Source organism: Homo sapiens, chromosome 1 (genome assembly GCF_000001405.40).
Source record: "Homo sapiens chromosome 1, GRCh38.p14 Primary Assembly".
Taxonomy (NCBI): domain Eukaryota; kingdom Metazoa; phylum Chordata; class Mammalia; order Primates; family Hominidae; genus Homo; species Homo sapiens.
In genome coordinates, this window is record NC_000001.11 from 58,463,451 (window position 1) to 58,487,676 (window position 24,226).

The 24,226-nt window shown below is 41.2% G+C and overlaps 2 protein-coding genes across 2 annotated transcripts in view; both read right to left on the reverse strand.

Annotated features, from left to right (window-relative positions):
- DAB1 (DAB adaptor protein 1) overlaps positions 1 to 24,226 on the reverse strand; it is a 1,551,949-nt gene that overhangs the window by 1,468,673 nt on the left and 59,050 nt on the right. The window lies entirely within an intron of this gene.
- OMA1 (OMA1 zinc metallopeptidase) overlaps positions 17,269 to 24,226 on the reverse strand; it is a 66,008-nt gene continuing 59,050 nt past the window's right edge. Inside the window, exon 9 of the mRNA NM_145243.5 lies at positions 17,269 to 17,724. Coding sequence (NP_660286.1) covers positions 17,515 to 17,724 — 210 coding nt within the window. The 3' untranslated portion in view covers positions 17,269 to 17,514. The remainder of the gene's footprint in view (positions 17,725 to 24,226) is intronic.

Sequence of the window (24,226 nt, forward strand, 5' to 3'; positions counted from 1 at the left end):
TGGGGAGAAGGAGGCTAAGGCTGCCTTCCTGGCCCTTGCATGGCAGTGTGTAAATCTTCATGTTCAAGGCATATGGTGTTTGCATACACTGGTATCCACATCCTAAGGGGTATGAGCACCCACATACTGAGTCTCATATGCATAAGGTCATATGCATGCTTGAGAGTCTGTGTGTACATGTATCTACGGCCTGGGCACATCCTGCATGCATAAATGGGTTTGCATGTGGATGCTGCTTCTGCCTCCATGGGCAAAAATGTGCCTCAATGTCTCTGCACTTGGCCTGGTGGACATTTACAGATGTGGATGGCCATGTGGACCCACCTGTGTGAGTCCATGGCATCACAGATATATGAATTCTGTACATGTCCTTGTCATGTGTTTCAGTAGAGTTTGAGAATCTGAGACAGACTGTGGGGTTGTCCACTGGGACCATCTGTGGAGCTGGGTCTCCAAGATTGTGGGTGAATGCCCCAAAGCTAGGAAGAGATAGGAAGGTTTGCATGAGAGAAGCTGAGCTCACAGCTCCAAGCAAATGGATCTTGCATCCAGCCAGAGGGGTCAAGGAAGACCAGATACTGAACGACAGGAGGTGCAGAGCCTGGGCTGTAAGGAGGACAGTTGAAGAGCAGGGAACGGCACACTGCAGAAATGTGGAAGCAAAGTGCTCTGGCCACCAATCCACAACTGCCAAGCAGGCACAGGCAGAATAGCATTTTTGTTGTTTAATTAGAGATGTTCCGTTAAAGGTATCATACCAGCTATACCATGTGTATGCATGGAAGACATCAATGTGTGTATTGTCATGCATACACTGAGGTCTGTATTTGTACAGGTCCTTCCCAGGGCTTGACATATGCCCAGGGCATGTCAAGGATTTCCACTGTTACTCAGACAGCATTTAGACAGCACTAACTGTGTGCATGATATGTTTGGGAGAGGATGGAATGAAGTGGGATCGTGTCCCCTGTCCTTGAGGTTTTTATATTCTAAATGGGGCCAGAAACAGAGAAATATGCAAGCAGAGAAAAATTATAAAGCAGCATAAATAAGATGGGTAGGAATTCTACTGCCTAGACTTGTGTTTAAGCCTGAACTTGGCCTTGTACTAGCTGTGTGGCCTTGTGAATGTTATTTAACTTCTCTGAGTTCCTTTTCCCTCATCTATCGGATATAGCATCAATATAACACAAAGATATAGCACTAGGTTGCTGTGAGAATTAAAGGAAGTAATATATCAAAGGCACCTAATAAAATATAAAGTACAAAGCAAATACGATGGATGTGGGCTTGCTCAGGCAGGCTTCTTGGAGGAGGAGACGAGAACTGAACAGGGTGATGGGCAAGGCTAACCCTAGCCCAGGAGAGGATGCGACCATTCTAAACTCCATATCAGGCAGCCCTTGCCCTCACACCTCAGCAGTATCCAAACACCAGGCTTCCTCTAATCACTGAATATCGGGGCAGGAGAGGACCTTAGAAACATGAACCTAACCCATCATGTTGCTAAGGCAGAAACAGACTCAGAAGAGCTCATCAAAGCCTTTCCAGAAGTTTGCAGGAGTAGCTGACACAGTGTGAGGCACTGTGCTGGTGCTTCTGCACACATTCTCAGCCTGGGTTATTGGCTGAGTTGCTGTTAACCAATACAGTATCTTTATCAAATAAGAAAAGTACTCTCCTCTGGACAGGTGCAGTCCATCAGAGACTCGCATGACAAGCTGTAAGCAATGTTGTGTGAATGCAAACTAGAACACTGCCTCATTCAGGCAGGTACAGCCCCTGAGCACACCACTGGCCACCAAGCCACAAGGTGGACTGCAGTCCCCCTCTCCTCTCAGGCAAACGCCCTGCATGACCCTAGAGAGTGGCTGACCCTGGGTTTGAGCCTGGCTAGGGCAGGGGTCAGCCAACATGTAGGCACTGATGATGTGGCAGGAAACAGGACATCGTCCTCACCCCCGCAGGAATTCTCAGTTTATTGCAAGAAATGACAACAACAACGACGACAAAATGTGCAACCAATCACTGTAAAAAGTTCTGTGGGAAAAGGAGGCTACAGGCTCAGAGGAGGACCCCAAACCAAGCCTCAGGGTAAGGAGCAGCTTCGTGGAAAGATGGTGAAGGATTTAGGACACAGTGAGGTGTAGGTATATTTGGCACACAGCAGCGGTGGGAGTGCACAGCTTTTACATTTTGATGCAGCCCCATCAAACCAATGCATTGAAATGGCCCCTAAATCAAAAATGGATCCATTAAAATAATAATAGATACCATTTATTGGGCACTTACCATGTGTTTTAATTCATGTACTTCTGTCACAACCTTAGGAGACAGGAACCGTCATTATCCACACTTACCCACGAGGAAACTGGGGGGTTCAGTGCCTTGCCTGCAGTACCCATGGTCAATGGCAGAAATGGGGGCTGCTGTGAAGCTGTGTCCCTCACCACTACCCGATGCCACCTTTTCTCAGGACTGCTTCCCTTGGCAGATCCCAGGGACAGGGGCTGAAGCAGAAGCCAGATGTGCAGGGTTACCAAATCTAGGGGAGTGTGGTGGCCATGGAGAATATTCCTCTCAGATACCCAGCTTCAGGGAGCATGACTGCCCAGCGGTCCCCACAACTGCTTTCCAAAATCTAGCACAAACGCTGTGTCCTGACTGCCCCTGGCCACCCCCAGCCAATGGAGGAGCGGGGCAGGGATAATGAGGAAGGGCCCTTCCTGGAGACGTGGGACTCCTCTCGTGGGCAACCTTGGCTCCAGGACTCCCAGACAGCCTTGCCAAAGTTTCCGTAGGATTGTCTAAAACACTTCCCCCATCCCTCCCTCCCCTCCCTTGCTCCTTCACCGGGAGTCAGGTCTGCATCATGGACTTGTGGCTTTTCCAGCCTCCCCTGGCCTCTACATTTTTTCCCACAGGCATTTCCCCTAACAGATTTCTTGCATGTTTAATCCTGTCTCGGTTTCTGCTTTCTCGGAGGGCCTGAACTAACACAGATGGGGTGGGTAGGTCTGTGTGGAAGCAATGTGGGGGCCCAAGGGAGGTCCCTGAAGCCAAGGACTTGGAGCCTGGAAGGCAGATGAATGGGATACTCGGGAAGAATGCACAAGCAGCTGTCACGGGAAGCCCTGACACTCTGCTCATTCATCTTCAGGCCTCAGAGAGGCTGCCGTTTCTTGAAAGGGACAATCCTCCTTCCCTGCCAAACACCCTCCTGTCTTCCCTCCACCTACCCTCACCTGGTCTCATCTGGAGGTCATTCTTGCAGGAAGCCTTGACATTCTACACGGGTGATGTTTTGCCTCCTTTTACCACCACAGCCCGGTTGAACAGCGCCTGTCCCATAACTGGTCTGTGCAGGGGGAGCTGTGTTTGTGCATCTAAGCCCCCACTAGTTGGGGGACTCCTTGTGGTGGGTGTCAGTCTGAGCCATTCATCACTGTATCCTAGTGCCTGGTGCAGTAGTGCCTGGAATGCAGGTGTTGTTGAATGAATGAATATGTGAATACATGAGTGAGTGGCCTCACAGCAGATCTGCGGCTTGCCTTGTGTGATGCAGATACAGTGCCTGGATGTAGTGCCTCCCAGGGGACAAGTGGGACCAGAGAGTCTGATATGAACCTGACCTTGCTAATGAGCAGGTGGGTGGCTCTGGCCATTCTCAAATTCACTGAGCCTTAGTTTCCTTATCTGTGAAAAGCAGTGATAATGCCGAACTCCCCAAGTTGTGAGGATAACGCCAAACTCTTTGCCTGAAACATGTAACAAAGTGGCTGTCACTGTAACAGGAACTCAAACACATCAGGCCCTGTGGCCTGGACCCCAGCTGCCCCACTGCAGACCTATTGCCCATATGTAGCAGCGCTCAAACAAAAGCAGAACGTCTGCTTTTTTGATTATATTGAAAAAATAATTACTTAGGCTTTGCCGTCTGCACTACCTGCCATCTCTCTCCCCAGTCCCCGTTTTCTCTTCTCCTGATTATTAAAAACATAATAAACATATATTGCTCCCATGCTACTGTCATAGCCACTGGGGATTAAGAAATGAGTAGATGAGAGTCTTCTTTCTTAGAGCTTGTGGTCCAGTGAGGGTTGGGGAGAGAAAGAGAATAGAAACAAACATAAAAATAAATAATTGCTACTCGGTGCAGTAAAAGCCACAATAGATTAAGACTCAACTGCTGGCATGTGACAACATATATCCAAAATTTCCCAAAACATAGCCAATTTCAAATTATTTTATTATTTTTCACTAGAAACAATTTGTTGGGCATGATTTAATATGTTTTAATTTTTTATTATGAAATACTTCAGGCATATAAAAAGCGTAGGTATAATGAACAACTGTGTACCAACCACGCAGCGTAAAATACAAAACCTGTTTGCATTTTTCTTTTTCTCCCCAGTGGTAACCTCTCTCCTGAATTTGGGTTTATCTTTCATTAGTGTGTTTTTGGTTTTTTTGTTTGTTTGTTTGTTTGTTTTGAGATGGAGTCTCTCTCTGTGCTCAGGGTGGAGTGCAATGGCGCGATCTCAGCTCACTGCAACCTCTGCCTCCGGGGTTCAAGTGATTCTTCTGCCTTAGCCTCCCAAGTAGCTGGTACTGCAGGCATGTGCCACCACATTCAGCTGATTTTTGTATTTTTAGTAGAGACGGGATTTCACCATGTTGGCCAGGATGGTCTCAATCTCTTGACCTCATGATCCACCCACCTTGGCCTCCCAAAGTGCTGGGATTACAGGCGCGAGCCACCGCACCCAGCCCTTAGTGTGTTTTTATGCTTTTGTCACATATGTACTCATCTACAAATTATATATGACATTGTTTCACAAGTTTTAAAACTTTGTATAAATGTTACATACTGTATGTATCACTCTGCAACATTTTTGTTTTTGCTCAACATTATCTTTTTGAGATGTATGTATGTTGATGCCTATATCTCTAATTCGTTCATTTTGACTGCCCTATAGTATTCCATTGCATGATGATATCATAGAATTGATCTGTTTCCCAGGTGAGAGACATGTGGGCTGAAAAACAGAGTCACTGTGTCTTTGCATTAGCATTCTTCAGGAAGTAGACACCAAGATGGGATTAGCTGTGCATGAGATGTATTGGAGAAGCTCTGGTGCATGACAAAGGAGAGGATCAGGAGGAGGCAGAGAGAGCCTTCAGACCATGATGTGAGTCTGAAGTGCGAGAAAGGAGAGTGGGAAAGAAGGAGGAGGAAGTAGGAAGAGCTGTGACTACAGTGCAGTTCTAAGAAAGTTTTGGCCAGGTCAACAGGGAGTCCTCATGCAATAGTCATCCATGACACCATCTCATGTGCAGCAGGAACGGCCCAGCTCTAGTGCCCCTGCTATATTCAGTTACCATGGGCCTGAAGGTGTGACAGCTGGAGCATTTGTCAGTCATGCATGCCACAGAGGACTCACTTGAAGAGTGATCTGAGTGGTACCCCTCCATGGCCGCTACACTGTATATGAGCAGAGATGAAGCAGAAACATTCCGCCTGGCTGACCTTCTTTCATTTATTCATCCTCCGTCTTATGAAAAGAAAAGTGAGATGTTAGAGAAGGTTATCACAGGACAGGGTCATTAAAGCTGGGTCCTAAGGGACTGTCTCAAGCATCATTGCTGGCCAGCAGTCACAGCAAACCACTTTCATTTATTTTTGGTATCTATGTTGAGCTCTGCTGCCAGGAATCTGCCATCAGTGATCCAAGAGGCTCCATGGTAAGGCTTTGGAATCACACAGACCTGCATTTTATTCTCATCTCAGCCATTTGGGCATTGCATAACATTGTATAAGTCTTTCACTGATGTAGGTCTCACTTTTGTTATCTGAAAAATGAGGATAACCAGACCTATCTCATGCAGTTGTTATAGGGATTAAAAAACATGATGTAAGCATAGAGTCTGGCACCAACAGTAGGTGCTTTAAAAAAAAAAACATTAGTTCCTTCCCTATCCCACTATGACATTATTAGGGGAAAAGAAATCTTTTCTTAGATGTAGTAATTTTTCTCAAACTGAGTAATGTTAAAAAACTTAGGGCCTTAGTTCTGTAAACTCCAGCTATCTATAGCAATCAGGGTGAATCAGAATGATCTCCACTGAACCTTCTAATTCACACCCATCACTCTTTCTAAAGCAGCAATTTGTGATTAATCTCACTCTAGGGCTAAATCAGTCCCAAGCGCTTACAAGGCACTTGATAAAGAAGCTCTCTGATTTATAGCAAACACCATTATTGAGCGGTGGCAGGGAGAAGCCATTGGGGATTTGTCTTGCTGGAAACTCTCTCTGCCGGAGCCATTTCTTCTATTTTCCTGGGTAAGAGCTCAATTTATTTCAAAATAGATGGATGGAGTTCCTTGGTGAGGTAGGAGGAAGGGAGGACTTAGAGAATTTTTAAAAATAAATAATAATACTTAATATTTTAAATTTGTGAAATTCTTTCAGCTTCCACAGACATCAGGACTTGAGAGAAGGCTAGGCATATAGTAGGCCTTCAATAAACGTTTGTAGAAGTGTACAATCATCTCATTTACTCTTCACAGCAGCCCCAGGAAGTACACTGAGGCCATTCTTCCCATTTGACAAAGAGGGAATTTGAGGTTGGCAGCTACAAAACAGCAAAGCTGGGACTTTCTCTTTATTTATTTATTTATTTATTTATTTATTTATTTATTTATTTTTATTTTTAATTTTATTTATTTATTTATTTTTGAGATGGAGTCTCATTCTGTCACCCAGGTTGGAGTGCAGTGGTGCAGTCTCGGCTCACTGCAACCTCTGCCTCACAGGTTCAAGAGATTCTTGTGCCTCAGCCTCCCAAGCAGGTGGGATTACAGGTGTGCAGCACCGCACCCAGCTAATTTTTGCAGTTTTAGTAGAGATGGGGTTTTGCCATGTTTCCCAGGCTGGTCTTGAACTCCTAACCTCAAGTGATCCGCCTGCCTTGGCCTCCCAAAGTGCTGAAATTATAGGCATGAGCCACCGCACCTAGCCAGAGCTGGGACTTTTCATGCAGATCCAGGCCTGATCCTTATCCTTCACCATGCCATCACCCTCAATGGTCCAGGAGCAGCACTGTCAAACCCATTCCTGGAGCACAGATGTCTGAAGCACTGTCTCATCACCAAACTGGAAACCTGGTTAGCGAAGACTGCAGTTTCTTTTTTGCCTATTGTTTGGGCCCATGCGGTTCTATTCCAGAACACGTTTATGATATATTTGCATCTCGCACGCAGTCCGTCTTCCTGACTCCTGTCTACTTAAAGCCTGGCTCTCCTTCCAGCGACCTTCATGAATAGCTGTCTTATCTTTGCTTGAGCATCTCCTATGACTGAGAGCTCCCTACTCGGCTGCCCAGTGTCAAGAGCTCTTCTTATTTGATTGAGCGAACCTACTGCCCCTGGAATGTAATTCCCCTGGACTGTAGACTTGGATCCAGGCAGAATCGTAGCAGCAAAAGCTTATTAGGCCTTCCCACTTACAAGCTGTGTGACAGAGGGGAAGGGATTTAATTTTTTTAAGTCCTGGTTTTCTCAATTATAAAATGGAACCAATACTATTTTATCAGTAGGAATACTTTTAGGTGCAAGTAAGAGAATACCCAATTAATGGTGGCATAAATAATAAAGACATTTAATATCTCACTTCACAAAAAGTTTTGAGGCAGACAGTGCCAGCATTGTCCTAGCAACCCAGTGCCACTGGAGTTCTGGGGTCCTATGTTGGTATCCCCAGGATTTCCTGGGCCATGATATCTTGACACAACACTTGGAAGGCAGGGATAAAAGACATAGGTAAAAACAAACAAGCAAAACAGACTTTTCTGTGGCCTCTCTCTTCTCAGGGAGGAAAATATTCACTATCCTTGGAAAGTACTTGACTTTGTTCTCTTTCTTTTTCATCAGATCTAGTTACACACCTGTTCCTAGACCTGGCCCTGGCTTAGGTGAACAGCATTACATAATTGACTTAGACATTCATGATGTCTCGGGCAGGGAATACTGCCACCTAAACAAAATGAAGGTTTGCAGAAAAAGAAGAGGAAAAGTGGCTATTGGCTGGTGATATGGTTTGGATCTGTGTCCCCATCCAAATCTCATGTCGAATTGTATGTAATCCCCAATCCCCTTTTTGGAGGTGGGGCCCAGTGAGAGGTGATTGGATCATGGGGCAGGTTCTGATGAGTGGTTTAGCACTATCCCCTCTGTGCTGTTCTCGTGATAGTGAGTGAGTTATCACAAGATCTGGTTGTTTTAAAAGTGTGTAGCACCTCCCCACCCCTCCTGCTCCTGCCATCTGAGGTGCTTTGCTCCCCTTTGCACTTCTGCCATGATTTTAAGTTCCCTGAGGCCTTCCCAGAAGCTGATGCCACCATGCTTCCTGTACAGCCTGCAGAACCATAAGCCAATTAAATCTGTTTTCTTTAGAAATTAGTCTCAGGTATTTATTTTAGCAATTCAAGAACAGACTAATACAGCTGGGCAACAACAGCATTATAGTGAGTGCAAAATTGGATAATATATGCAAAGTGTTTAGTAGAGTTCCCAACACCTTCTGCTTCATAAATGTTAACTATTACTATTGCCTACTATAATGATAAACTTTCATAAAAAGTAACCAGGGTCCCTCTGATCATCTCTTTTCCCACTTAGGACTTCTGTTCACCTTCAATTATGCCCTACCTTGATAGTCATGCTCCTTGGAAGAAAAAGACACCCTAGGTAGGGCTATCTTATTGTCTAATCCCATGGAGTGCTACTCACATGTTACTCTAGGGAATGTACCCTATGGAGGTGTGACTGTTAGCCTCAGTCCTGAATAGGAGTAAAATAGTTCTTCCTCATCTGTCTTCACTATTTCATTTTATCTGAGATGTGGCCTCCCCTTGTCCTTGGTATATTTGGTCCTGATATAACTTTATAGTTTTTATTTTGTTTTATTTTTGTCATTAGCACTTTTCATAAGTCTTGCTTAGAAACAGCCTGAATCAACCTCTTTTCAACATCGTGGGTAAAAGAGGGAGAAGCGGTTCCCTTCAAGTGAGTCAGTGACAAATTGTGGCCCCTGAGCTTGACCATGGGTGCTCTATCTGTTCTTCTTAAGTCAGTGGGGCTGTGGGGAGGGGGCCTCCCCAGCTCTGCTGGGACATTTGAAATAGTTCAAAGAAAGAGACCTCACCAGTAGAGGACAGAAAATCCAAGGTGGGTAATGGCTGGTTATTACTTAAAGCTATCTTGAGTAGAAAACAAAAGACCGATGAAAACCCCTTCTTACACTTGTCTCTTGAAGTTCTCTGCCTTACAAAAGAATCTCTTAAATAAATGGAGTCCTGGAAAGAAGAGATCCTGCTCTCAGGCTTTGGCTCCAAAATTTTCCTTTATAAATCACGTGTGGAAGTAGGTGGAGCATACACCACAAAGCGAGAGGGAAAGAGGAGCAGCCAGCAGTGGCCACTCACCATGTGCCAGGCCCCTAAAGGAATAAACCCACTGCCTTCTCAGGGTGTTCTATGGGCAGGTGTTATAGAAGATTTGTTAAGAGAGGAAGTGGTCCCAGGAAAACAAAGTAATTTAAACGACATTTCCCCGCACCACACTGTATTGTCATGCTTTACAAACCATCCAACCAGCCAGAGCCAACCTCCCAATGCTTAATGCTTCCAAATAGCATTTCATCTGAGACCCAAGAGCTTGCAAGGCCAAGGTAAGTCTTACCTGGGAGGTCTGAGTCAAGTCACTCAGACTCTCTGGGCTCAATTTCCTCATTCATAAATAACATGGGGGCCGGGCGCGGTGGCTCACGCCTGTAATCCCAGCACTTTGGGAGGCCGAGGCGGGTGGATCACGAGGTCAGGAGATCGAGACCATCCTGGCTAACAAGGTGAAACCCCGTCTCTACTAAAAATACAAAAAATTAGCCGGGCGCGGTGGCGGGCGCCTGTAGTCCCAGCTACTCGGGAGGCTGAGGCAGGAGAATGGCGTGAACCCGGGAAGCGGAGCTTGCAGTGAGCCGAGATTGTGCCACTGCACTCCAGCCTGGGCGACAGAGCAAGACTCCGTCTCAAAAAAATAAATAAATAAATAAATAAATAAATAAATAAATAAATAAATAACATGGGACAATTTTATCTGCCTCATAGAATTGTTGAGGGAGTCAAGCAAGCTACTGCATGTATTTCAGAGCCTGGTTTGTAAGAGGTCTCAATAATGAATGCTAGCCATTATTATTGCTCTTGTTACTGCTCTTATTGTTAGGGACTTGATCTTACCAAGCCCTAATGACCCCATCTCCAGAACAGTCTGACCCAAGAACGCTCTGCAGAGAAAGTCTGAGCACCGCCAAGCACACTTCCCAAGACTGGTGTGTCTTCCTAGCCTGCGTTTCCTTCACATTTCAACTCCGACAGATTTCTGTGTTCTGGATGAAGCTGTTGAGCGTTAACTCTGCAATCTGTTCTGGCTGTTCAATAAACTTCTCTTCCCGGACAAGCTGTCACATGCACGTAAATATCACTTTATGCCTGGACTTTGATTTCCGAGTCAAACTTCTACTTCATGGTGGCTATTAGGGTCATTCCCAATCCAGAGCCTAGGAATCACCAATAAAGCATCAAGCATTCCTGTGGAGTGTGGATGAAAAAGATGAGGATGCCAGAGCTCCTGCCCTCAAGGAGCTTTCAGGCCAATAGCCAGCTTGCAGCACAATGGGATAGGTGCAGTAATAGAGCTCTTTACATGGCCACAACATACAGGTGAGGATAAACTGAGCTTTCGAGAGGCTTAGTTACTTGCTGGATCTCACAGCTGGTAAGGAAGGCAGGATGTGAACTCAGATCTTCTGACCTTGAATCCTCAGTGGTTTCCTAAACTATAGGTTTGTGCAAAAGTAATTGCCTTTTAAAATTTGCCATTTAAAAGTAATGAAAAAAAAAAAGCAACTACTTTTGCACCAACCTAATTGTTCCCCTGAGAGAAGGAGTTGGTTCATTGTGATAAGCTCAGGTCAAAGCTGGTGGCCCATGTGACTTTGGGTACCTGTTAGGGTCCAAAAAGTACCCTAACTCCTGTGTTGCCAAGGGTCAACTGTATGTTCCTGAGGCTGCTGGGCCTTTTTCATGAATACCTTTTAGTTAGCTGATTGGCTCATTGCAAAGGGAGCTGGTGTTGAGCGATGAGATCATGGAAAGTTTCAGGGACTATGGAGCAGGAGAAATGCTCTAGGCATTCAAACAAAGCAAAGATCCCAAATAATTGTTTCCCTCGTTGCCCTGCCAATTGTTCTCACTTCTTGTGTGTGAAGGGAAGCATATTAAAGACAGTGAAAGCCTTTGAGTCTCACAGACCTAGCTAAACTCCTGGATTACTGTGTGACCTCGGTAAAGTTACACAGTCCTGTGAACCCTCATTTTCTTATCTGTAAATTAGGAGAATAAAACATGCCTCACGGGGTTGCTGTGAAGATTAAAAGGAGAGGAAGGTTGTAGAATCTTGCCTTAATAGGGCTCAACAAATACTAATTCCCATTTTCCCAGCCCATCATCTGGCGAATGGATTGGTGATTCCAGGAAAAGACTGGCCTTATTTCTCCAGATTTAAACATTAGAATGTAGAAATTGATGGAAATCAGGAGCACTCTCCAGACAAGAGCCGTAATGGATTAATAGAATTAGATTAATTATTAGTAGTAGTAGTATTGAAACTGAGTCTTGCTCTGTCACTCAGGCTGGAGTGCAGTGGCACGATCTCGGCTCACTGTAACCTCTGCCTCCTGGGCTCAAGCGATACTCCTGTCTCAGCCTCCCGAGTAACTGGAATTACAGGCACCTGCCACCACAACCACATCTGGCTAATTTTTGTATTTTTAGTAGAGACAAGGTTTCACCATGTTGGCCAGGCTGGTCTGAAACTCCTGACCTCAAGTGATCTACCTGCCTCAGCCTCCCAAAGTGTTGGGATTACAGGAATGAGCCACTGTGCCTGGCTGAATTAGGTTAATTAAACACACACACACACACACACACACACACGAATCAGACTAAAACAAAACGTGCCACAAATAAAAGTTTCCTTTCTTCTCACACTCAGGTAGGAAGACATCATCATCACTTCTGAGCTGTAGCAGATCAGAGCCAAACTTTTGGAAGTGACCTCTCTTAACTAATAATCTCACAGCCCAGATGAAGACATGTTAGAATATATTAACAAGAATCAGCACAATGCAGCACTTGGGATGTTCAGTAAAGCATATACACGTTACTATATTTAAACCCATAATAATTCTGGGAATTGGGCAGGGCAAATATTACTATCCTATTTTCCCAAATAAATAAATGAGACTAGTGATGTTGCCCTTAATACTTTCAAGGCTACCATAACATCAGAAAGGAATAATTTGGAAAAAACTAAACTCAATATTTCTGTGCAAAAGCAATAGTTACTTAAAAAAATACAACCTTAAGTATAGAATAACAGAATCCTTAAGTAGAACATCCACCATTTCTAACCTATGAAAATATGATTATACTTTAATATATTGGTCAAAATTAACAAGTTAACTTTAATATTCTGAAGGAAGAAAAAAACAAATCTGATTTTAGACCAATGCTGCCCAGGACAAGGTCCCGGGCCTCTTGTGGTCTATGAAGATGGTATTAGGAACCTGTCAGCTATGTTTAATATTTCAAAGAGCTTAACTAAAAATTTTATATTTTCTCTCACATAATTAGGTACTCAAACTAATTAAAATAATTTTTTTTTTCTTTTGGCTGGAACTTTGATAACACCAGAGATCACGTGATGATCAAAGGCCCTGCTTGGTCTTTGATGATATCAGAGACATCCTAAGACCTGGAAACAGAGCTGCACTGTGACTTATGCCCCATGCTCTGCAGTCTCCTAAACAGCTAGTGTGGTGAGAACACCTGGGCATGAGTCTAGACACACCAACCCTTCAAGACAGAACTTAGTGGTGTAAAACCCCTTGCACGCAGAGCCAGTTAATGTAAAAGGAGGTCTGGGTGATTCAGAGGCTGGGAGCGAGCCACTGGCCTAACTTTTCTGATGGAAGTTAGGGGGCAAAGTGTAGATGGGTAGAACACTGACAGAGTTTTCTTCCCAGTAATGAAGTGGGAGATTTATCTCATCTCACTACAGATTAAAGAATTCTCTAGGCTCTCACAAAAACATGTTATGAGGTGATTAACAGAAATTTCATCCCTCACATGTATACATACGCTTAAAATGGATATTTTTACCATCTGTCATAGACTATTAAAATGGGTGCTTTTAAATCAGGGAAAAGGTGTTGGCCCTGCTGTTCACAAGTGAAGGGTGAAGGGAAATGGACATTTTTCATCCTCACTTCCTATATGAGATTTGTTCACGTAAGTGGCAGTACATGGAGGAAGAGGACGGACTTTGGAGTCAGAAGATGGGAGGGTTTGAACCAGTTCTGTCATTGAGAGTTGAGTACTGCTGGACACACATTGACTAATATTTTTGAGCTTCGGTCTCCAGGTAAGTGGAGGTAACAGCTCCCTTTCCAAAGACTGCAGTATTGCCAAAAGAACACTGGATTACAAATCAGTGAATTCTTTAGTTCCAATCCCAGTTCAGCCATTTACTTGAATGCATACTTGGACCACTTGCCTAATTCTCCAAGCTTTAGTTTTCTCCCCTACGAGTAAATGATGCCATTTGTCCTTCCAATCTCATAGGCTGGTTTTGAGGATATAATTCAGTACAAAACAAGACAAAACAAAACAAAAAAACCTTGTAAACGCTAAAGCAAATATGCTAATGAAAATTTGCTATCATATCAATATAAAATTTAAGCTACTTTTTTATCAGATTAAATGTCATTTCAGATAAAATTGTCAAGGAATCATCTTGTTTATTTGCCTGCTGAAAGGATAAACATTAGGTTTTAATTCTAGTTCTGCCACTTACTTCGTAAGCCCCGTGGTTGCATCTCTCCTAACACGCAGTAGCCATTCTGTTTGGGTGGTGTTGACTCATACCCATCATCAGCTTGAATGTTGGATCCTGATAGGTCCAAGCCAATCAAGATAATGCCATCCCCTGCCATGGTGATTGCTTCAAGGGTGCAGTTAGAGTGTTAAAGGCTTTGTTTCAATAGTTGTGGTGTGAGTCAGTCACACATCCAGCTGGATGTGAAAGCATGCAACCCTGGGAGCTACTGGCAACCATCTGGATATCACCAGGGAACAGGTGAGAAAGACTGCAAAGAAAAAAGAGCCCTTGCTCTGATAATATCATGATCCCCTGGATTAAACTGTGCCTGAAGCAGCACACTGCTGGGCTTTTCTGTCAGTTTGAGGCAACGAATTTTCTTGGTTGGGTTTGTGTTGGTTCCTCTGTTCTTACAAGTAAAAAAACCTTAAGAAATACACCATGTACCCTTGAGTAACTTCCATTACCCCTCTAAACTTCAGTTCCGTGATCTATAATAGGGCATAGTAGAATAGAATGCCTACCATAAATAGGGTCACTGTGGGGTTCAACAGTGCTTGAAAAATGCTTAGCACCACACATAAATGATATGGTTTGACTCTGTGTCCCCACCCAAATCTCATTTCAAATTGTAATCCCCATGTGACAAGAAAGGTAAGTGATTGAATCATGGGGGCAGTTTCCTCCATGCTGTTCTCCTGATAGTGAGTGACTTCTCACCATATCTGATGGTTTTATGGGGCAGTTTTCCCTGCTCTTACTCACTCTCTCTTGCCTGCCACCACGTGAGACATGCCTCTTACCCTTCCGCCATGATTGTGAGATTCCTGAAGCCTCCCCAGCCATGTAGAACTGTGAGTCAATTAAATCCCTTTTCTTTATAAATTACCTAGTCTCGGGTATGTCTTTATAGCAGTGTGAAAATGGACTAATAGTACAAAGTATGCATTCAGTATATGGTAACAATTTTTATTACATTTGCAGCTCTAGACTTTGTGTTAAATGCTTTAAGTATATCATTTCACTTGGTCATTGGTCAACCTAGGAGGATTTTTTTTGTCCCCATTTTACAATTAAGAAATGAGGGTTAGAGAGTTTGCATGACTTGTCCAGGGTTCCACAACTACAGAAGCAGATTTTACAGAGTATGATTGTTTCTCCTTTTTTTCAATCCTTTGAACAGATAATTATTGTACAGTGTCAATGTTAATTGAATGCCTATAATGTGCAAAGCATTATAAGTATATAGCAGTAAATATACACACTGTCCTTTAGTTTTAGAGGATAGTCTCACCCTATCTGAATTATAGAAAAGATCGGGTTGAGTTTGTGCCTTGGATTTATTAGCATCATGCTCCTAACAACTAAGTTAACCAGCCTATCATCTAAATCCTATAGGCACATGAAAAGTATTGACAGGAACAAAGTAGTTCTGCAACTAAGTGTAGAACATACAGCTTATTTCCATATAAAATTTAAAGTATATATATACATCTTGTATTTCAACTGCTATTTAATTTCTTCTAAAGCATTGAGCTGAACTGTAACATTTCTTTTACATTTAATTCCACTGGTTAAAAAAAATCTTTTTCATATACTATAAAGATATTATCTCTGCTCTTTCTGACATGGTGTCAACTTATATATGTTTCTAGCAAGTATGAACAACACAATTAGAAGTGACAATGGGAATGGAAGAAAAAGTAGGCCGTTGCTACATTATTTTCCTAGGAAATCTGCAGGAAAATCTAATGCTGTGTTTTACTGTTTACCTTTAGGTGACATTCTCCAAGTGTCTTTATATGTTATGGAGTGCCTTTTACAATACTCCAATCACAAGGAGTGTAAAAAATGATTATATGGAGAATAGTTAATATGAACCTCTTCATGACCAATGTTGTCTCGTGTGCAGATCAGGAAATTCCTTACAAGTAATGTATAATAATCCCTGAGAAACATAAACAGCCTCTGAACTTATCTTCTTAACAACTAGATATTTTGTCCAAGAAGATTTAATAATGTCAGGACACATCCCAAATGAGATTTCACAGGCTTTCACAGGCAGGGGGAGAGGTTCTACTCTCCTACACTGCCTCATCTATGCTTTTCATGTCAATTTTGATAGAAGGGTCTGAGAGAAGAACCTATAAAATCAACCTACAGAAAACACAAGTGGTCCCTGATTTCATAATGATGAGATTTTTACTTATATTGAAGCCATATGTGGGGAAGCTAATGAACAACTGAGAATACTTTGTTCCTTGTCTTGATAGCTTAGTCTTAGATATCTGAGAGTTGTAAAAAAATGGACAGATTTGTAGTCAGATAGACTCAGCTTTGTTCTATCTAGGTGAGAGATATTGGATATATTATGTAACTTCTCGAAGCCTATTTGTCATTGTAAAGTGAGAATAATAAAACCTAGTAGGGTTATGGAATAAAGATAAATATAGGGCCCAGTTCATAGTAGATTCACAATACAAAGTAGTCCCTTTCCTCTTTAATTCTCTAAGAAAATATTTATTTAATATAATGTATTTCAAGAAAAATGCCCTTCTTAGAAATATAACCTAAGCATCACTAGACTTCACTAGTTTGGGAATACAAATATTAAATAACTCGTATTTCCACATTTATATAATGCAGCAATTTCTGGGCACCACTGGGGGTATGTCTTGTGCTGCTTCTCTTGTCGTTTTCCTCCAGTCGTCTTGTTGATATCTGCTGCTCAGGAAGGTCAACTTGGGGACAGTGCCTTGCCTCAGCCTCTTTTGAGGGACAGTGCCTTGCCTTTGCCTCTTTTTCTTCTCTGGGAACCCGAGATTCCCAAATGGTAATCTCATGGAGCAACCAAATGACATAAACTTCTGTTAAGATTTCAGTGCACCAGGAACACGCTGTATCTCTGTGGAAATGCCCTCTCCCCCAATTCTGTTTCTTGCTTTGTCATCTGAACCACAAACTGTACTTCTTTTGCCTCCCTATGAAAATGGCTTCTGCCAGTAGCATTTTCTCCAGTCATCCACAGGTGAAGACAAGGAAATTCTCTATCCTGAGGCCCCCTTTTCCACATAATCCCACCCCAATGCAAACTATTTCCTGCAAACAGATACCTTCAGACTGTTTCCCCCTTCATCATAACGACCCAGACTTAGAAATCCAGTTTAGGCTCAGTTGAAACATTCTCTACTATAAAAACTACCGTATGGGCTCATTTCTCATCCACTAGGGGTCTGCCTTCTAAATCAAAAGCAAGTAGAAGACAGAGTAAAATGTGTAATATAAATTTATTCTGTGACATTTTCCTCATTGAAGATATTTTAACATAGATTAAAATACATCAATATTTCATGAAAAATAAATTCTAGAAGAATTTAGATAATATCTGTAATGTACATGATTTGACCCTGAATATCCTTTTTTTTTTCACTTCAAACATCATTTTTTAAAAAGTAACATAAAATGATAAGGACTGCAACATTCTTCATATATCTTGTGTCTCATAAATTTTAATTCAACTGCCCGTTCTTTTCTCAACTATGTATGTTAATGGTATTTGCTCCTGTTTTTGAATAGGAAGAGTATCCATTTTCTGTTTCTTCGTGATATTTAGGTCTTCTTTCTCTGATTCTTCAAGAAAATGCTTCGTGCTGAGTTTGAATAGTAATCGAGGGTCTGGATTAGACAGTGGTGGACAATTACACATCTCTCTAATTTTGAGAGCCTATAAAGAAATAATAAAATAAAAAAATACTATATATATACATCAATGTATTCAGATTGTTTCAGTAATCCCTAATATGCTCCATGTAAAACAAAGAATGTATTGTTATTTTTTTAATAAAAGGTATCTTGATTATAACACATAAAAGAGAACCACTGAAAAATCTACAGTGAACAGTTGTTTTCATGATTTGGTCAAATAGTATTATTTTAAAAACAACAACAATAGTATTAATAATCTGTAACAACTGCCCTAATGCTGTTTTGAGGGTAAACAAATCTTAGAGATACATCTATGGTTTCAGTTAAACTCTAGCAGACCGGAGAATCATTCAGATTTAAAAAGGCTCTATGAGAGATTTTTTTCAAGAAAAACTGCAGAACATAGATGACTGAATATACTGAAAAAAGATATACATAACTGATACAGTCTTGGGTAAAATTGATGATAATAACCTAGTGATATGGTTTGCATATGTCTCCACCCAAATCTCATCTTGAATTGCAGTTCCCATAATTCCCACATGTCATGGGAGGTAACTGAATCATGGAGGTGGGTGTTTCCCGTGCTGTTCTCATGATAGTGATTAAGTCTCACGAGATCTGATGGTTTTATAAAGGGCAGTTCCCCCTGCATATGCTCTCTTGACTGCCGCCATGTAAGACATGACTTTTCTCCTCATTCGCCTTCCACCATGATTGTGAGGCCATCCTCAGCCATATGGAACTGTAAGTCAATTAAACCTCTTTCCTTCATAAATTACCTAGTCTCAGGTATGTTTCATTAGCAGCATGAGAATGGACTAATATACTTAGAAAAGTAAACAAATCAAAATCATGACAATTTTTAACTCCAGGAGAAATAAAACATTGCAAAGGAAGGAAAAGTAATCACAGTGTACTATGGGGCTCAGCTATGACTAGTGCTTACAGTTTAAAATACCAAATCTTGATGAAACCAAAAAGTACAATTTCATCATACTGAGAAGGGGAGAGCTGCATGTGTGTGCACATGCACAGGGTGTGACACTGGAAAGAGAGGGCTTACGTCTCATCCTGTAAGGTGGAAAATAATTAAGGCCCAAAATTGAAGTTAGAATGTAGCAACATAAGCATGTTATTTAGACACAATGGGAAATACTAAAAGAATCGTCCAATAGAATTGGAAATAGTTACCCCTGAAACTGATGGCAGGGTTGAGGGACTGGCTGCTGATTTAAGTAACTAGCCTTAGAACTATTTAACTCTTCAAAGTGGGTATATGGATAATTTTAAGATATAAGAGCCAAAATAATTTTTAAGGATAAATGGTCTTAATATTTAGGAGTTTTAAAAGAAAGACATTTAGGGGAAAAAGCTAATTCAGTTTTTTACGACTTCTGGCTTTCTGATACTGATGTGTCTTAAGGGAAGTAAATAAGGCAGTAAAGGAGACAGTGTTTGAGGGACTGGTAAAATCTTAGAAAGACTATCCAGGCAAGGCCTCACTGATAGGATAATGACTTTGGGGGTCAAGAGGGGGACAGACCTGAAGGACATGAGGAAAGAGACCATGTGGCAACCTAGGGAAAAATCATTCCAAGAGGGAGCTGCGAGTACAAGGGAGATGGGAGCGTGCCTGGGGTGTTTTGGAACAGTGAAGAAGCAGGTACAGCCGAGTGGAGCAGGGTGGAGGGCAGGAGCAGATTATGTAGGACCTCACAGGTCATGCTAAGGATTTTAAGTTTTACTCTAAACAGCCTGCCTCTAATATTTGTGGGGTCCATGGAAAGAATGAAAATGGAGGCCCAGATACCATGTCTCTAAACACCTAAAAGCAGTAAGTCAAGCTAATACACTACTACTTAAAATCTGTTCTATTCTCCTACTTTGAAGAATACACATTCGAAATTACCTGGAAGTCCAGGTACAAAACTAGAATTCTTGAATTTCAGAACATGTAAGATTGCAGGGAGCTTACTGTGTAGCTCTTGCCACTAGCCTGCCATCTGCCCCCTCTCCCAGCCCTAGCTTATCTGGCACTGTAAAGGGCCTTGTGTGAATGTGTTCAAGGAAGAGGTCCAGATGGGCCCTGAAAGCAGGCTCAAACATATCTGGGCAAGGAATTCCATTATTCCAGATACCCTGAGTGGGGTATGGTAGGGGCACAGGTTCTTGTATGCTAACATTTCATTGAGTCCCACAGGAGAGAGGGACTTGTAGTCAGATGCGAGCCAGATAGACGTTCTCTAAGTGAATGGGGTCAGGGCAGAAGCTTGGGTCTAGGAGCACTTCTAGCTCTGATTAGGCTCTGAGTTACCAAGGTAAGCTGGAGAGTTGAAAAAACATTACTTAACGTGAAATTCTTCAGTGGCAGTGGTCTTGTCTTATTTTTCTTTGTATTTCACAGCAGATTTAAGATTTCCTTATATCTAGTGAGTGTTAAGTAAATGTTTAAGTAAACTGAATTGACACAACAAGAAAATGTTTCCCAACTATAGCACTTACAGCACTTAAGTAAACAGAAAGTCAGATCCTCAGCTAAACGGTGACCTACTGTCCAAACTGGGATACCTTTGAGAATGAAATGAGATGCTAGCAAGATTTGCACTGAGACATCAGGCATGAGCCATGACTGTCTCTGCAAAATTGGGACGTACGGTCACTCTTGCATTAGTTCCTTTACAATGATGTTAATTTTCTTTCCCAAGTGAGAAGTTTACCTGTCATGGCTGCTATATCAGTGTAGTGCCTATGTTTAAGCACTGCACTGGCATCAGTAAAGGGGGAGAGTATGGAGTCCAGCAGGTAACAACTGGCACAGCTGAGTGTGGCAATGAGAGATGCAAAGCAACAAAGAGAGGAATAGGATGCCATCCCCTAAGATCTTTGTGTATTCAGTAAAAACTCTTCTCTTATCCTTAAATTCGCTTATTCAGTCTTTTTAATACAACAAATATTTAGAACACCACAGTGAGTAAGGTGCTAGGTACACATTGGTCAGAATAGTCATGGTCCCTGCCCTCATGTAATTTACTTTGTATTTCTCCGTTACTGGGCATTAGAATTGTTCCCACAGTTGTGTCTATTTGGCTTTTATAAATTACCCTGCTATAAAAACTTTTCTTTAAAAAAATCTTTTCTCACCTCCATTTGGAGATATGTGAAGTCTAACACCCAAAATAGAATGATCTGATCAAAGAGTAAGCACAGGTAGATTATACTTTTTGTTATATAGGACCAAACTGCTTTCTACCAGAAAGGCTTTATCAACCTTTAATGTCACCAGTAATACAGGCATACTTGAGTTATTCACAGTTATTCACATAACATTTCATGACTTTTATATAGATAATTACATAATTTCAAACCTCAGAATCCTTAGAAAATATCAGCTCAATTTTACAGATGAGGAAACTGAGTCTCAGAGAAGTTAAATGCCGGGCAAGGAACAAAAAGCTGGCTTGGTAAATGTTTTTAACAGCTTTATTTGCTAAAACTTGGAAATAACCAAGATTTCCTTCGATAGGTGAATGGATAAACTGTGGGATATCCAGACAAAAGAATATTATTCAGATCTAAGAAGAAATTAGCTATCAAGCCATGAAAAGATATGAGGAACCTTAAACGTATATTGCTAAGAGAAAAAAGCCAATCTGAAAAGGCTACATGATTCCAACTATATGATATTCTGGAAAAGGCACAACTATGGAGACAGTAAAAAGATCAGTGGTTGCCAGGGGCTAGGGGGAGGGAGGAATGAGTAGGCACAGAGTGTATTTTTATGGCAGTGAAACTACTCTGCATGATGCTATAATGGTGGATACATGTCATTATACATTTGTCAAAATGCACTGAATGTACAGCACCAAGAGTAAACCCTAATGGACTTTGGGTGATAATGATGGGTCAACATAGGTTCATCAATTGTAACTAATATTATCACTCTGGCATGGGATTTTGATGGTATGGGAGGCTGTGAGTATGCGGGGACAGATGTATAAGGGAAATCTCTATACCTTCTACTCAATTAAAAGTTGAAGCTTTAGAGTCTAAAAATAAAAGAGTCTACTACTAAAAAAAAAAAAAAAAAAAAAAAAAAAAGCTGGCCTGGAAGTAAAAAAGCTGGGTTTAGAACCTGTTTTGTTTCTACCGCTTTTGCTCTACATGCTTTTTGTGCTCATGCTTTTTTGTATCACATGATATTTCTTGAGTAAATTTTTTACTGAATAAATGTACTTTGGAGATGTCTGAGCTAGGTTTCTTTAATTGCTAGAAACACTATATGTTCTTCATACAGGTTTTCTATCACTACTTCTTCATGTGTGAACTGTTTCTCCTCCCCAAATATCTATCAAGCAGAATCCTGTTATGACCATACATATTTCTATCAAATCTTCATCTACTTTGCATAGTAAGATTCTATTGGATGTCTTGGTAACTTATTTTTTCTTTTTTCCTTTCCTTTCCATATTCATTTTATATATTTCAGGGCGCCAATGTCTTTTTATTTTTATAAATTCTAATCTATCTTATTAAATATATCTTCATCTCTTCAAAAGTGAGCAAAATTTTCCTACCATATAGCTAGAATATGTCTTTCCACTTCCTTTACTTTGTTTTCTGTGTTTAACTCCACGCACTGCACATAACAGGCACTTAACAAACGCATGCTAAATTTTAAACAAACATTTATAGAACACCAGCTATGAATAAATCATTATGATAAATGTCATAGAGAAAATACTCTTAGGAGTTTATGGTTTAAGAAAAAGCAGGAATGTATTTTAATAGCAAGAATATATGGTTCTGAGAATCCTGAGGAAGATTTGAAGTTAAATATAGAATTAGCCAGCCTAAAGACTACAACTATGAGTGAAAGAAACTAACATCTACTGTTCACTTTCTATGTGCCTTTCACTGCGTGAGGTATTTTACACATCTAAATTGACATTGGAATTTGAACCACTTTTGAAATCTTGGGCCTGACATAAAATACTTATCATTAAAATGTCTATGCCAAAGAGAGGGGGACAAGGCAAAGAAGACAGCAGGACCTTACCTACAGAAATGCACAAGTATGTACATCCAACATCTAGGAGATATTGCTATCCTGATTTCACATATGAAGAAAACTAAAGGTTGGATTAGGTAACTTTCTCCAAGTTACATGGCTGAGTCAGAATTAAAACCGAAGACTCCTAAGACCACTGTTATCTTTATATTACTATTTCCTGCGACCATCTTTCTCCCGTTACCAACTATTAATGTCCTACATGCTAAATTTCTATAAGGGAGTGGAAGGACTGTTCAATTCTACTGCCAATTTTTCTATTTTTCACCCACTATTATATTGCTTATCCTGCCTATTATTACACATCATGCAATCATTTAACTAATATTCACTAATCATCTCAACTTCTCATAGGTACTATGGATACAGCAGTGTACAAAGGCCTTACACACTAGGGTAAAAGCCAATAAACAAATAAGGTAATTTTAGTTAAGTACATGAAGAAACTAAAGAGTGAGGTGTGTTGGACGGACAATGAGTACATGGAAGGGAAGCGATTTAAGATTATGGGATCAAAGAAAGCCTCCCCAGGACAGTGACATTTGCCTAAAGAACTGAGGGAAGAATGTTTCAGACAGAGAAATCAGCAAGTAGAAGAGCTGTAAGGAGGACACTAGCTTAATGGGGGACATACCCTGGTCTTGTATGTTTCCTAAACCAAGGAAAGCCTAAGGAAAGGGGCATGTGGTGAAGTTGGAGAGCTAGGCAGTGGCCAAATTACGTGCCTGGAAGACATAGGAAGAGTCTGGATTTTTATTCTAAGTTAGATGAGAAGCCACTAGAGGGTTTTAACCAAGGAAAGGACATTACAATGATCACTCTGGCTACATATTGAAAATAGGTTGTTAGGAGTTGAGGTGAAACGTGACATCGTGAGGTGAAAAGTGACAACAGGAAATGACTGCGGTAACTTGGGAGGAGATGATGGTGACTTTTACTAGGAAAGGAGCAGTGGCGAAGTTGAGAAGCCCACAGATTCTTAATGTACTTGTTAAAGCAGTCAAGATTTTTTCATGAATAGGACACAGAAGTGAAGGAAAGAGGAACTGAAGATGAGTCCTAAATTTCCTCTTCTGTTTTAATAGCTTTTCTTTTATGATGCTGCTCATGCATTTGAGGATAATTAACTTGCTCACAGTAAATAATTACTGTAATATAATATCGTATTGTCAATTAATGACCCCAGTCCATAAATTCTTTTAAAGTTATTGTTTTTATCAAATTGTCAAAACAAAATCATTTATGCTTGTAAAATGAATCAGAAACTTAATAACATACCTTTCTACATTTTGAAGGTAGAACTAATTAGTAACTAGGCAATTGTTCTCTGAACTTCTGAAAAAATTCTCCAAATTAAATCCCATCAGGGCTAGGCGTCCTTTTCTTTGCTAATTTATTATGACTCTATGGGTTCTAATAGTTTTTTAAATTTGATTTATTTATACCTTAC